The sequence below is a fragment of the Homo sapiens genome, chromosome Y (assembly GCF_000001405.40).
Source record: "Homo sapiens chromosome Y, GRCh38.p14 Primary Assembly".
NCBI classification, from domain to species: Eukaryota; Metazoa; Chordata; class Mammalia; order Primates; family Hominidae; genus Homo; species Homo sapiens.
The window spans coordinates 2944725-2960430 of NC_000024.10; the positions used below are offsets into that span (position 1 = coordinate 2944725).

Here is a 15706-nt window from a genome sequence, read left to right on the forward strand (position 1 = left end):
GTCTTTTTATGATTTTTTTTTTTTTTTTTTTTTTTTTTTTTTGAGACAGAGTCTCGTTCTGTTGCCCAGGTTGCAGTCAGTGGTGCAATCTTGGCTCACTGCAACCTTTGCCTCCTGGGTTCAAGCGATTCTCCTGCCTCAGCCTCCTGAGTTGCCGGGATTACAGGCATGGGCCACAATGCCCAGCTAATTTTGTATTTTTAGTAGACATGGGGTTTCTCCATGTAGGTCATGCTGGTCTCGAACTCCTGACGTCAGGTGATCTGTCCGCCTTGGTCTCCCAAAGTGCTGGATTACAGATGTGAGCCACCATGCCTGGCCATGAATATTTTTTTGACATTTGATCTATTGAAAGTTTCTTTCATGGTGATATGTCTTTGGCTTTTCTTGAGTATGTTCTTGTTGCTTATACAGAATTTTTAATGTCCTAGAAATATGTTTATAAATAGGATATAAATATTTATAGTTTTATCTTATGACTTATAAAACATGTATAATTCTGTCAGTTTGCTTTTTTCTGATAAGCTTTTTACATTTTGCCATTTTTCCTTGCCAAATAGGAATTTGATTATATTTTTTAAGCAATTTTTTTGTTGATGCTTTTTGTCCATATCTTTTGTTCCCTTTTGCTTGAGTTTATTATCCTTTTTTTTTTCAGTTTTCTGTGTGTGCATATGTAGGAGGCTTAGCACATTTGTATTTAATTTCACTTTTTACAGTATGTTCAATTAAAGCTGCTCCCCTCCCCTCCCCTCCCCTCTTTTGACTCAGCATTTCACTCTGTTGCCCGGGCTGGAGTGGAGTAGTACGATGTCGGCTTACTGCAACCTGTGCCTCCAGGTCCAAGCAATTCTTGTGCCTGAGCTTCCCAAGTAGTTGCATGCCATCACACCGGGCTGATTTTTTGTGTGTTTTTAGTAGAGATGAGGTTTAACCATATTGGCCAGGACCATGTTGGCCAGGCTGGTCTCTAACGCCTGACCTCAAGTGATCCTCCCACCTTAGCGTCCCAAAGTGCTGGGATTAGAGGCATGAGCCACTGCACCCAGCCTCTATAAATATTTTACTTGTTACCCCTGAATTATTTAAGTTTTTCCCTTTGTTTTCAAATGTATGTATTTATTTATTGGGCTGTATTGTTAGGTGCCTGTGTTTAGGACTATTGCATATTATGTCACTATTTTCTTTTTAACATTAAGACATGATGTATTTCAACACTGATGATGATTCTTGTCTTAAAATGTGTTTTGGCTAATTTCTGGCTTTTTTGTTTGTTAAAATGCCTTTTTTAAAAATCTTTTTCTACCTCTTATAAAAATTGTATAATTTTTTAAAAAACTAGAATATGTAATGGTTTTAATTTTAATCTCCTATTAACAAAGGCATGCAAGGAGGTTTTTTTTTTTAAAGAGATGGGATCTCACTATGTTGCCCAGGCTGGTCTTGAACTCCTGGGCTCAAGCAATCCAATCACCTTGGCCTCCCAAAGTGCTGCGATTATAGACATGAGCCACCCTGGCTGGCCACAAGGAGGATTTTAAACATAACCCATTGAGTGAGTATCATTTCCAGGTGTGTTTAATCTCTTATTTAGGAAATATTTTTAAATCTTTTTCCATTGTATTTTATGTTGTCTGTTTGCCAATATTTCATATGAGTTCCCATCTCTTTTCTGACTTTTTATTTTACTGAATGATTTTATCTCACCATCTTTTTAAACAACAGCTTATAAATAAATTGCTTCTACTTACGTCTTTTCAGTTATTTTGTTTTAATGTTAAACCCAGTTACTTGATTTCAGGCAGTAGAAAATCAGTGTGTTTATTTTCTATTTAAACTTCTACTTGAAGATAGGGTTTGGTGGCCAGGAAAAAAAGGGAAGTTTAAAATTTGCTTTATCTTGAAAAGATTGGTTGAGTGGAGTAGCAGATAAGAAAAAAAAAAGATGAATTTTTAAGATAAATAGGATATATTAAATTAAAAATATTTGGGCCAGGCACAGTGGCTTTCTGCCTGTAATGCCAGCACTTTGGGAGGCTGAAACGGGTGGATCACCTGAGGTCAGGAGTTTGAAACCACCCTGGCCAAACATGCTGAAACCCCATCTCTACTAAAAAAAAAAAAAATACGAAAAAAAATTAGCTGGGCTTGGTGGCGGGCACCTGTAATCCCAGCTACTCAGGAGACTGAGACGAGAATTGCTTGGAACCTGGAAAGTGGAGGTTGCAGTGAGCCAAGATTGCGCCTGCGCCAGTGCACTCCAGCCTGGGCAAAAAGAGTGAGACTCCGTCTCAAAAAAAAAAAATTTTGAGGAAAGCTAAATAGAAGTTAAAAGCATTACAGTGATATCAAAGAAATGTGTATAACACGCCATATTAATGTTTTCTGAGTATTTTGATATGGAAGAAAGTTGGACCATGGAAAATCAGGATAAAAGTTTTATAATACGGTGCAAAGTAGCTTGAGATTTTATTTCTATAGATGAAATAAACATTATGAATTTGTTTCATCTTTCAAAAATCAGATGTAATTGTAATCCTGTGTACTAATTATTTGAATGAACAGAATGAATTAAATGGTGGATTCTGTTTTGGCTGACAAAATTGTGTGATAGTACAGTAATGGTATTTTCATTGAAACGCACTGCATGATAATAAAGAAAATATATTCAAGGGCTTTGTCAGTTTTCTAAGAGCTGTTGCAGGTCTTGATATTCACATAATTCTCCTTTGGAAAAAAATAGCTTCCGAGCTTACAGTTGTGTTTTTCTTTCTACAGTTATAATTTCTTTCTACAGTTATAAAGGGAGATCTATGTTTAAGCCAATGGCCATGACTGTGATTGAACATTTTTTTTTCACATTCACCAGTTTTTTATACATATATTGTAGGATTTACATTTTTCATCTTACAACATAATTGCTTTGTAATTACTTTGTATTGTCATCATGTTGCTGTATTTGCCATTCAGACTGATTAACAAAGACAATGTGTTGAGTGGGAAGCAGTTACAGTTTATAAAGGGAGGAGTGTTTGCATTTTTTAGTTGAGTAATCTCCAGTTTTTCTTATTCACGTATCTTGTTAAACTATTACTTGTTTTTAAACATACAAGGTAGACATTTAAAGGATGAGATGTTACAATATATAAAAACAAAAGTTTTGATTTTTGTCTTTTTACATCCATTCCCTAAATGTGTGCAAGTACTACTTTAGAGACTAGTAAGTAACATGCTAAATATGTTCATTCTTAGGACTTTTGTTTTCCTCTGCAACCATAAAACTCTTGAGACTAAGATAATGAACATTCAGATAAGTTAAAGTAGACTAAATGAAGATATTGTGAAACAACTGAAACTAGAGAATAAGGAATTAAAAGATTAAAAAATAAGTAGTTGAAATTTACATGAGGAATAAAATGGAATGAAGTCACAGATTATGATACGGAGTACTGAGACAAACAATAGACTTGGTGGTTTGACACCATAAATGAAAGATCTTCTTTTGCCATAGTGTGTCATTGAGCAGCCTTCTTAGCATTTTAAGCTTCAATTTCCTTAATTGGAAAATAGGGTTGGTCATACCTACTACTTTTGGTGAATTAAATAGTTGGTTTATACAAAGGGCTTAACAGATTTTTGCATCTAACAAATTATGCCACCTTTTAAAAATGGGTGAAGTTAGAATAAATTAAAACAAACATGGATACAAGTTAAAAAGACTAACATTTGACTTTTATTTCTGACTTTATTAAAGAAGCCTATAGCAGGCTAACATCCAGTGCTTTGAAGTAAATGTAATGAAACAATCTTTCTCACATATTCATATATTAAATCTAAGAGGACCTAAATTAAAGAATAGATATGGAGTAGAAAAGTTAATATTTTAAAGATGCTATTTCTTTTCAGATTGATCAGTGTAGATTGATGCAGTTCCAATCAAAATCTGATGGGGTTGCTTAAAAAATTTAAATATATGATGGATAAATAGAAGTATAACAATAGATCACATAACATTATCAACACGCATAACATCACATCAGTGAGATGAAACTTGATAGAGAGATGTATGAAATGCACAAGCAGACTTTCCAGAAAAAACACATTGGATATAAATGTTTGTTTGTTTTCAGTAAGGGGGTTAGAAGTTATTATTACTTTTTCTTTTTTTGAGACAGGGTATTAAAAAGCTTCATAGCTTACTGCAAGCTCAAACTCCTAGGCTCAAGCCATTCTCTCTCCTCATCCTTCTTGATGGCTGGGACTACAGGGGTGTGCCACCACACCCAACTAATTTTTTTTTTTTTAGTAGAGAAAGAGTTTCACTCTGTCGCCCAAGCTGGTATTGAACTCCTGGCCTCAAACGATCCTCTTGCCTTTGCTATTTCAAGTGTGAGCCACCATGCACAGTCACATTTTTTTTTTCCTTTTTTTGAGACAGTTTAGTTCTGTTGCCCAGGCTGGAGTACAGTGACAAGATTATGGCTCACTGCAGCCTCAACCTCCTGGGCTCAAGCAGTTCTCCCTCCTCAAACCCCAGATAACTGACTACAGGTACCCACTATCATGATTGGCTAATTTTTGTATTGTTTGTAAAGATGGGGTTTCACCATGTTGGCCAGGCTGGGTTTAAATTCCTGGGTTCAAGCATTCCACCTGCCTTAGCGTCCCAGAGTGCTAGGATTACTGGGGTGAGCCACGGCACCCAACCTGGCCAAAAAATTAAAGTCTGTGATGCTTATTAGTTTTTGGGAAATAGGCACTCTTACATTACTTGTGAAAGCTAATAAATTTTCAAGAGCCTTTATCGAGATTATTTTAGCAATATTGCTGGCTGTGATGGCTTACATTTATAATCCCAGCACTTTGGAGGCAGAGACAGGCAGTTACCTTGAGGCCAGGAGTGAAAGACCAGCTTGGTCAATGTACTGAGACCCTCATGTCTACAAAAAAAAAAAAAAAAAAAAAAAAAAAAAAGATTACCCAGGCATGTTGGTAAGTGCCTGTAGTCTCAGCTACTCTGGAGACTGAGATGAGAGGATCGCTTGAGCGTGGGAGGTCGAGGCGGTAGTGAGTCATGGTCACACCACTGCACTCCATCCTGGGTGACAGAGCAAGACCCTGTCTCAAAAAAAAAGAACACCAAAAAAACCCATATATATACACATACACACACAAACACACACTCATATATATGTTTGTAGAATGGTTTTCTACTTTACATTGCTTTATTTCTCCTTTTTTGGTTTACTAGCTATTAGTTGTTTTCTCATCTTCATACCACTGTAGCTAGGACTGAAGGCATGCACCACCACATCTGGCTAATTTTGCAGTTTTTTATAGAGACATTGTCTTGCTCTGTCACCCAGGCTGGAGTGCAGTGGTGTAATCATAGCTCACTGTCATGGCTACGTGACCTCTCAGGCTCCAATGATCCTTCCTACCTCAGCTTCCCAAGTAGCTGGGACCACAGGTGCACCACGACGTCCAGCTAATTTTTAATTTTTTTTGTAGAGAAGGGATCCAACTATTTGCCTAGACTTGTCTAGAACTCCTGGACTCCAGTGATCCCCCTCCCGTGGTCCCTCAAAATGCTGGGATTACAGGATTAAGCCACCACACCAGGCCTAAATTATTTTTCAGAGTGGATCCTCTGGATCATTCTGCTTATTTGTCTTCCAATTCAGCTGATCTCTAAGCTTGGTTCTTACTACAAAGGCATGGGAAATTACTGTGAAATCATGGGAACTTATTTTTCACCTTATCAAAATTGTGTTAATATTATTACCATTAAGAGCATGGTTTTGTTCTGGTTGTAGGAAGAAATTGGCATTTGTAACCCAAGAAAGCTTACTAACGTAAAGGTGTGGTCATCTTTACAGTGAAGTGCAAAAGAACCTCTTGTGCCTCTGTCAGTTTTCGCCGTGATAAAATAGGACAATAATCAGTCAAATGTGTTGTTGAAGAATGATTGCTCACTATAGTGAAGATTGGATTGGTGGTCAGCCCTTATCATAGGCTCAAGTACATAGTAGGGATATGTATATGACGTAAAATTATACTTAACCCTCTTTCATTCAAGATTTTGAGTTTGTAGGTGTTGTGCTGAATAGAGTCCTAGAATGTAGCAGTTCGTGGTTGGTTTCTCACTTGTTTGAGCTCTTTTCTCTTTATTGCCTGTTTCAGAATGATTAAACCAGAATTTAGCTATCTGTGGCACAGATGTTTGGTTACATACATGAGACACTAGCACTATGTCCCTAGGTCACTGATAGTGACATTTTCCTGCATTTATAAATATTTGTAAATATTAGCAGTTATTGACCCTGCTAATGACAGTTGACTAGGTATAGCTCCACTTTTTCAAGACCTCACCTCCTAGAAAATTCTAGGATGTTGAGTGCCAGGGTAAAAACATAAAGATCGTTTGAAGAATGACATGCTGTCCAGCTAGGTTGCAAAGTTGAGTAATAACAGTAAATAAGTCATGTGGTAGCTTGGGTTAATAATGTGGAGGTCACTGAATATTGGAGACTGCTTCTTGGTAAGGGAGTGATCAAAGCAGTGCTTCAAGAAGATTCATCTGGCTACAGATTGTAGGAATGCCTTGTTAGTTGGCATTACAAGACCCCCTTCTTATAATAGGTTTCCTAGTCATTTGTTTTGGAAGTGTTACAAAGGCCATTTCAGAAACTATTTTCATTTCTAGGGATCAGAAAATAGGAAGCTTAGAGTGATTGGTGATAATGGGAATACAAGCAGGGCAAACATAACAGAGAAATTGTGGAGAAGAAATTGACAAGATCTGAGAAACCAACTGTCAGGGAAGGAGGAAAAGGCCATAGTGATTGTGCCAGGAAAAATCTGGGTTTTAATTTTTGAAGATGTTCAGTAAACGGTCTGATGGAAATTTTAGGTCCTTCTCAGCGTGTGGATTTTGGGGATCATCTTCACGTAAGTCGTCATTAAAAACTGTGGAAATAAATGAGAAAGTAGTAGAGAGGAAAGCTGAATGTGAAACCTTGGACAAGACTATAGTAGCCATCGGTTAAGAAGGTGAGAAGAGAACTAAGATATCATATAAACAAAGAGGTAGGAGGGAGTTTCAAAATTAAAGAAACTGATCATCTATCAGACTCTAACAGACAGGTAAGGAAGATGAATACCTGAAACAGGAAAATTACGCTACAAGTTGATCTTTTTTTTTTTTTTTTTGAGATGGAGTCTCGCTCTGTCGCCCAGGCTGGAGTGCAGTGGCACGATCTCGGCCCACTGCGAGCTCCGTCTCCCGGGTTCACACCATTCTCCTGCCTCAGCCTTCCGAGTAGCTGGGACTACAGATGCCCGTCACAGTGCCCGGCTAATTTTTTGTATTTTTAGTAGAGACAGGGTTTCACTGTCTGTACTGTCAAGACACCAGGTGGTCTTGATCTCCTGACCTTGTGATCCACCTGCCTCAGCTTCCTAAAGTCCTGGGATTACAGGCGTGAGCCACCATGCCTGGCCCACAAGTTGATCTTTTATTAGAACTAATGAAATTGCTGTTTTTAGGAAAATTGGAAGGTCACTTCAATAATCCAACAAATCACATTTATTCCATCATTCATTGCCTTAATTTCATGTGGTTTTCTTTAATTATGCAGAGAAGATTAGTTTGCATTTATAATTTTATAATTACATTTTTTTAAGAGGGGAAAAATTAATGAAGCCAGAGATTGTTTGGGTAGAGGGAGCAGTGACAGCTTATTTAGAGCAGGTGCCCTTTTTCTTTTTCTGTGGTTGACAAAATATTAGTGTAGTCATCATGGCCTTTTTATTTGAAGCAGTTTGAATGTCATAAAACACACTTTCTTTAAATTGAGTAGATCTGTTTCAGAGAAACACTTTGGAAATCCATTGGTTTCTCACTTGCATATTGCCTTATCATATAGTTTAATATTTGAAAATTGACACACATAAGTGACCATAGCATGTGCTAAAAATACAGTAAGGGAGCTGGACATAGTGGCATGTGTCATTAGTCCTAGCTGCTTGGGAGGCTGAAGTAAGAGGATTACTTGAGCCTAGGAGTTGGAGGCTGCAGTGAGCCATGATCATGCCACTGCACTCCAGTCTGGGTGACAGGGTGAGACCCTGTCTCTGAGGGGAGAGAATGGGGAGGGCTTTTAAGCTACACAGAAATCTGAGGAGTGCTTATAATTATTAGGAATTTTGAGTTTTTTACCATTTTGTTAATTTACTGTAGAAAGACTGGAGACTATGTTAAATATAGAGATGTAATACAGTCTTGCAGCAAAAACCTACAGAATGTGTTAAAGTTGAGAGTTAATCATGGGTGCCAGACACAATAACATTCCTGTAATCCCAGTACTTTGTGAGGCTGAGGTGGGAGGATTGCTCAAGCTCAGGACTTTGACACCAGCCTGGGCAACATAGTTAGACCTTGTCTATACAAAAAGATACTTTAAAAATTAGCCAGGTTTGGTGACACATACTTGTAGTCCCAAGTAGTTGGGCTGAGGGGTGAGCATTGCTTGAGCCTGAGAAGTTGAGGCTGCAGTGAACTGTGCCACTTACAGTTTAGCCTGTATGACAGAGCCAGAGGCCCTGTTTACAAAAAAAAAAAAAAAAATCATGGGGGTTACTGATAGAAGGCAAGAGGGAGTCATCTGGTGTGTAAGAAATGTTCTGTTATCTTAATATAAATAATGCAAGTACCAGTTAACACTTACGTACTTAACATAAATAATGCAAATTCCAGTTAACACTTAGGTAAAAATTTGTTATGCTAAATACTTAAGCATTGTGAATTTTATATAAGATGATAATTGAACTTTTTAAAAAATCTAAACAAGCCAGATATGGCGGCCTGTAGTCCCACCCACTCAGTAGGCTGAGGGAGGAAGAATTACTTGAGCCCTGGAATACTAAGCTAGTGTGAGGAACATAGCAAGACCCAAAATCTTTAAAAAACAAAAAAACAGAAACACTGTCAATCTGATTTGATCTACCTGCCCTTTCCTGTCTTGTTGCAGCCCATGTATCCCTGGAAATCAATTTGTTCCCTTTAATTTTACATTGATAGCTTAGTAAAAAATAATTTGAGCATTTCAGAAATGTGAATATCATGACATTTTAATATGTGATATAAAAATTAATGTTTGGTATACTTTATTCCCTGGTTTAGGAGCTGTGACTAATGAGAATTAAAGGCCATGGATGAAGATGAATTTGAATTGCAGCCACAAGAGCCAAACTCATTTTTTGATGGAATAGGTATTACTATTTATTGGGTTGTTTCACTTCCCATCTGCCAGATTTTGAATTACTTACCAAAATTGCAGAATCTGATGTTAATCCATATTTAGGTACTTAGGTCCATACTTAGGTCCTGTCAGAATCTCATAGCCAACTCATAATCTTGTTAGTTAAGCCATCAATATCAAAATCTTACTGTTACCCTTCAGTTATTCCAGTTTTTCCAGTTATGCAACTAAAGCCTGCTAGTTCTCCCTTTGAAATGTTTTCTGTTTGTGCTAGTTTTCTATTTTTCTATTGGTACATTTCAGCAAATTTACTAATCTAAAACAGGACAAATTTATCTCAGAGTTCTATAGGTCAGAAATGTGGCTCAATTGAGTTCTGCGTGTAGAATTATACAAGGTTAAAATTAAGATGTTGGCCAGGTGTGGTGGCTCACATCTGTAATCTCATTGCTTTGGAAGGCTCAATTGTGAGGATTGCTTGAGATCAGGAATTGGAGACCATCGTGGGTGGTGGACAACCCAATGGAAACCTGTGTCTACAGAAAAAAAAATTTTTTTTTAATTAGCTGAGCATGGTGGTGCATATCTCTAGTTCTAGCTGCTCTGGAGGCTGAGGTAGGAGGATTGTTTTACCAGAAGTTAAAGGCTGTGGTGAGCTATAATGGCACAGCTGTACCCCAGCCTGGGTAACAGAACAAGACAGTGTCTCAAAAAATAAATAAATAAATAAATAAATAAATAAATAAATAAATAAATAAAATAAGCTATCTGCAGGGCTGGAGGCTCTTGACTTCGAAGAATATCCATACTTTTAGCCAAATTTAGTTTCTTTTTGTTGCACAATGGAGATACTGTTGTTCCCTACAGTTCATCATCCAGGGCCATTTTTTGCTTTCAGAGCCTGCCCACATTTCTTCTCATGCTTTGCATGGTGGTTTCCTGAAGCAGCAGTGAGTGGAGTCCATCTTATGTTTTTAGTCTTTCTGATCTTCCCCTCTATCACATCCGTCTTCTTGAATCTAGCCAGAAAACTATTCAGTTTAAGAGCTCACATGATTAGATTTGATGCACCAGGGTAATCCAAGATAATTGCCCAATTTTAAGTTCATAATCTTAATTATACCTGAAAAATTTCTTTTGCCATATCAAGTAACATATTTTCAAGATTTATAAGGATTAGTTTATGGACATCTTTGTGAAAGGACCATTCTCCCTGCCACCATCTTCACCCCGGTTCTCAAATATGTCTCTGGCAAATGTAAAATAACATCCACCCTCTCTTAAAGTTCCCAGTCCAAAAAAAAAAAATCTTACCTGAAATTAATCAGCTCAGAAGTCCTAAGTATCATTTAAATCAGATGCTTATTCTCTGGGTATCAGTCATTAAGTGCAACTCCTGGGACATAATTCCTCTTTATCTGCTTCCCAAAGTACAGTGGTAGGACAGTTTGGGATATTCTGGTTCAAACAGGGTGACATGAAAGGTAAGAGAAATTTGTCTGAAGAAATTTTGAAATGCAGCTGGACAAACTCCCATTAGGTTTCAAGACCTGGGAATAATCCTTTTTGGCCTGTGGCTCCGCCCTTTGAGTCTTCCTTGCCATTTTTTTCAAAGATAGCAGGTATTTGCAGCTGAATAGTTTTATTTCCTGCTTCCTGCCTCTGGAATTCTGTCAGTCCAACTGTCTTCATTATATTGATTCTGTGTCCCTTTCCGTTTAAGCTAGCAGTGCTTCTTTTGAAAAAAATTTTGCGTGTGTCATGGGGATTTATTGTATTAGGCAAGAGGCTAATATATTTTTTTTCTGAGATTATCCCATGTCTGTTTTTGACTTCTGCTAAAATGGTTGAAGTCCAATATCCTTAGATTTCTTAGAGGTGTTGGGTATGTGTAAGTCACACTTTTACTTGCTTGAAAAAGACTTAATTCTCTGGCCTTTTGATCTTTCCCTTTCCTTTCCCTCCACTTCCTTTCCTTTTTCTTTTTACCTTACCTTACCTTACTTTACTTTACCTTACCTTACCTTTCCTTACCCCTTGCCTTTTCTTTTTCTTTCCTCTTTCTTTTTCTTTCACCTTGGCTTTTCCCTTTCTTTCCTTTTTCCTTAACTTTTACTTTTCTTGTTTAATGATCGGGTGCCTGAAGGAATCTTTTGTTTTTTCTGAGGGTTCATGGAATAGTTGAGAATCACATACTGTTTTTTTCTCTCTCTCTAAATCAGCGTTCCCCACCTTTTTGAGTACCAGGGACTGGTTTCATGGAAGACAATTTTTCCAGAGACCTGGGAGTAGTGGGGTTCGGGGGATAGTTACTAGATGAATGAAGTGCATTACATTTATTGTGCACTTCATTTGTATTATTATTATGTGTAATATATAATGAAACAATTATACAGTTCACCATAATTTAGAATCAGTGGGAGCCCTGAGCTTGTTTTCCTGAAACTATGCCATCCCATCTGGGGGTAGGAGACAGATCATCAGGCATTAGATTCTTATAAGGAACATGCAACCTAGATCCCTCACGTGTGCAGTTTACAGTACGGTTTGCATTCCTATGAGAATGTAATGTTGCTTCTGACCTGACAGGAGGCGAGAGCTCAGGCAGTGATGCCGGTGATGGGAAGTGGCTGTAAATACAGATGAGGCTTTGCTCTGACAAGGAATCTCCTTAATTTAACCTCCCCTTTCACCCCCACCCCCCCCCCGCCCCCAAGATGGACAGAAAACTTCTGATTTTGTCATGTTTTGCTATCTTTTTGTTTAATAAATATTCCAACTATTCATTTTTCTCACTGAATTTTACTCTAAGCATTAAGTAGAAACAAGACCACTTGTCCAACACTTTGCTGAAATCTTCTGAGCTAAAGAGTTGATTTTTACAAGTTGTTTTTTCCACATAACCAAGGGAGACAATTTTGCTAAGTGGTTTGTCTTCAAGTTGTGCTTTCCACATAACCCAGGGAGACAGTTTTGCTAAGTGGTCTGTCTTTTTATGTAACAAAGCTCTTCTTTCCTTCAGATAGAAACTCACTTTTAAGCCCTTACAAGCAGTGTTACAAAACTCCAGATTTCTACTAGCAGTCATACATGACGTAGGTATTCTCTGAGTCCATGTAGGATTTCTCTACCTTGATCCCTTCTCCCTCTGGATTCTCACTGGCAGAGTTGTTACTGGTTTTTTTTTTTTGTTTTTGAGATAGGGTCTCACTGTGTCACCAGGGCTGAAGGGCAGTGACATGATTATGGCTCCTCACTGCAGCCTCAACCTTCTGGGCTCAAGTGATCCACCCGCCTCAGCCTCCTGAGTAGCTGGAACTACAGGCACACACCACCATGCCTGGGGAATTTTTTAAAATAGAGATGAGGTTTTGCTGTACTGCTCAGGCTGATCTTGAATTCCTGAGCTCAGGCTATCCTCCCACCTCAGCCTCCCAAAGTGTTGCGATTACAGGCATGAGCCACTGTGCCCGGCCTGTTATTTTTAACATTCATGTTTTTACTTATTGGTTTATTTAAGGAAATCTAGGCTTTTTTCCACTCAACAGAATCTAAGCTTTTCATTCTGTAAAAATAATTTTTTTTTTCATTTTCCTAAGAGCTGGAATTTCTCTTTATTCTTGTAAGAAATTTTACAGCTGGCACCTATCCAAGTGCAAAGCCACTTTACGTTTTTAGGTATTTGTATAAGCAGCTCTCCACTTCTCGACACCAAAATCTGAAATTATTTCTGTTACTGCAATGAAAATTACCACAAACTCAGCAGTTCAAAACAAATTTATTGTCTCACAGTTTCTGTAGGTCAGAATTCTATCATGGTGCAGCTAGTTTCATAAGGTATTGCCAGAGGTTTGTTCCTTTCTGGTGAATCCAGTTTCATTGTTCTCTGGATGCACCCAATTTGAGGTTATTCAGGTCATTGGTTGAATGCAGTTCGTTGTAGCTATAGGACTGAAGTCCCCATTTATGTGCTGGTTGTGAGCTAACAGGCTAGTCTTTGCTCCTTTTGACAAAATCTGTGTTGTTTCTTATGCTTTCCATGTGGCCACTGTAGGCAAGGCTAATTCGATCTCTCTCATACATAAAATCTTTTCAATTTATGATTCTGCTTCAACTTTCCAACTCCAGACATAAAAAGCCCTCTGCTTTTAAGTTTTATCTGAGCGGATTGTGCTTAACAAATTATTCTTAAAGTTCATGACCTTAATTTTACCTGCACTGCCCATGTGGTATATAAGTCATAACATAATATATTCATAAGTTCTAGTGATTAGAGAATAAACATCTTGGGGATTTGGTTGGTGGGGCATATGGTGGGGTGTAGATTGTCTGGGGTGCTGAGAGAAGTCTGCTTATGACACAGCTTTTTCTTCATGCTAGTTCCTAGGGCCATATAGGCCCTATTATCTCATTCTTAACTGATAATATTAAGACTCTTTTTTCACTCTTGGTTTCTTTCTTTCACCTACCCTAGTGGTAGAATATTCAGTCCCGAAAAACATGTGGATCATACCTTTCTACTGCCCAGGAAATAAACTATAAATCCCAGGTCCTCTGGAATTGATTCTGTTCGAACTTTTGTAACCCTTTCACATGTTCACAAAAGGAGCCTCTATATCATGCAGATGCATCCTTACCTCATTTCCAAAACTGCAAAAAGAAAATTATACCTAAACAAGAGGGGGAAAAAAGTATTCTCAATTTCAGATTGGTCATGGTTCTAAATACATAATGCTATAATTAAACTAGATTTTATTTTTCTGTTTCATACTCTAAGTTAAAATTTTAATGATTGTATTAACTGAATTTTAAATGAACATTGCCATATATTAGCAATAGTAATTAACTTTACCAAGAAACGTAAGGAATTTTAAATATACCTTCTAAATTTTGTGTGTGTGCGTATATTTGCTAAGCAATTTAGGATATTCTTTTGACTCACCGTTAAGTACTTTCAGGTTGTTAATGGTAAATGCAGACCTATAATTCTTTCTTTCTCTGGAACATAGTGAAATATAATTACTTTGGGAGGCCACAGCAAGAGGGTTGCTTGTGGCCAGGTTTTTAACACCAGTCTGCACCACCCTTTCAGATTTTTTGTTTGAAAGAGAGACTAAGTTCTTAGGGAAAACTCAGTATTTTTTAGTGTAATCTTGCCACAATCAAGCCTGAGTCAGGGCTAAATGGTAGATTGAAGGGCTATTGCATTTTAGCCTTGATTGTTAACACTTGAAATGGTATTTTTTTTAAATTTGAGGAAGTCATGTAATCTGCCCAAGCTCCCATTTTCATATGCATGATAATAATGAAACATCTGATTACATTTTTTTCAGGACACTTACCATGCATTCGCATTTGGTCACTATAGTCCTGTGAGGTGCGCATGACAGATACTACTGACATCATTTTACTGTTGAGGAAACTGAACTCAGAGGTTAGATGACTTGGTCCAAGGTCACAAAACTATTAAGTATCTACACTTTGCCCTCTGATTTAGACCATTATAACCAGTGCTGTTGCCACTAAATGCTATCAAATTTATATCTGTGCAATGGGGATTACACTGTTCTATTGCTGTCTATTATTATGAACATAGAAGACAAATGAGTAGAAAACATTTTGTAGAAGATGTATAAAAATAAAAGCAAACATTCTTTCAACATATAAGTTAAGTAGGTTTTAACTACTTTAAAGACTTCCTGCAACATCTATTGTTGGTTTGCCCTTGGTGATCATTTTTGTTGAAGAAGCTGTGTGTTTATTTGAGGGCTTTGCCACAGGTACACAATCACCGAGTTGTGCACCCACTTGGACTCAGCTTACTCTGAGTTACAATCAGAAACACTAATCAGATAAATAGCCTTTTTTTCCTTTCCTTTTCTTTTTTTTTTTTTTTTTAAGAAAAATCCGGTGAGGTAGTGAGAGTGCAGAAGGAAAAAGAGAAATCTTAACTGCTTGTGATACGTGAATAGCTTTTAATAGTCATCCATGTTTGCTTTTCTCTATGCACTAGTAGCCATAATGCCTGATTTGTTTCATATTAGGTTATATTTTTGTTAAAGTTGTATGAATTCTCTTCCTATTTGTGGTGTTCATTTAGAATAATATTTACTGAGCATGATGTGCTGTGCAAGTTGTGTGATCTTGGTTAAGTCATTTGATCTCAGTGGGCTTTAACTGGCTCTCACCCTTCTACCTTCATTGCTTAACTGCACCCAGCACTAGAAAATGCTTTTATATATTCTGAGGAACTACCTTGGGATTTGGGGTTAGTGGGAACAGGAGGAGGATAGATGGAGGTGGAATACCCTGGCAAAATTAGGGCAGGCCCCACTCCAACCACCCCCACCCTTCACCACCCAGCCCAGCCCATTTTATCTATCTATAGAAACCTCTAAACCTAATGTCTTTCCTCTTTTTATTCCTCTTTTAATTTCTACCCT

At 37.6% G+C, this 15706-nt stretch overlaps 1 protein-coding gene across 14 annotated transcripts in view; it reads left to right on the plus strand.

Annotated features, from left to right (window-relative positions):
* ZFY (zinc finger protein Y-linked) overlaps window positions 1–15706 on the plus strand; it is a 47126-nt gene that overhangs the window by 9344 nt on the left and 22076 nt on the right. For 7 of the 14 annotated variants that reach the window (NM_003411.4, NM_001369706.1, XM_017030075.2 and 4 more), the window contains exon 2: window positions 9185–9273. The exons of 6 other annotated variants lie outside the window; for them this stretch is intronic. In NM_003411.4, coding sequence (NP_003402.2) covers window positions 9213–9273 — 61 coding nt within the window. In that variant the 5' untranslated portion in view covers window positions 9185–9212. Of the gene's footprint in view, window positions 1–1457; window positions 1556–9184; window positions 9274–15706 lie in introns of those variants that run through there. One more of the 14 variants, XM_047442758.1, reaches the window with a different exon arrangement.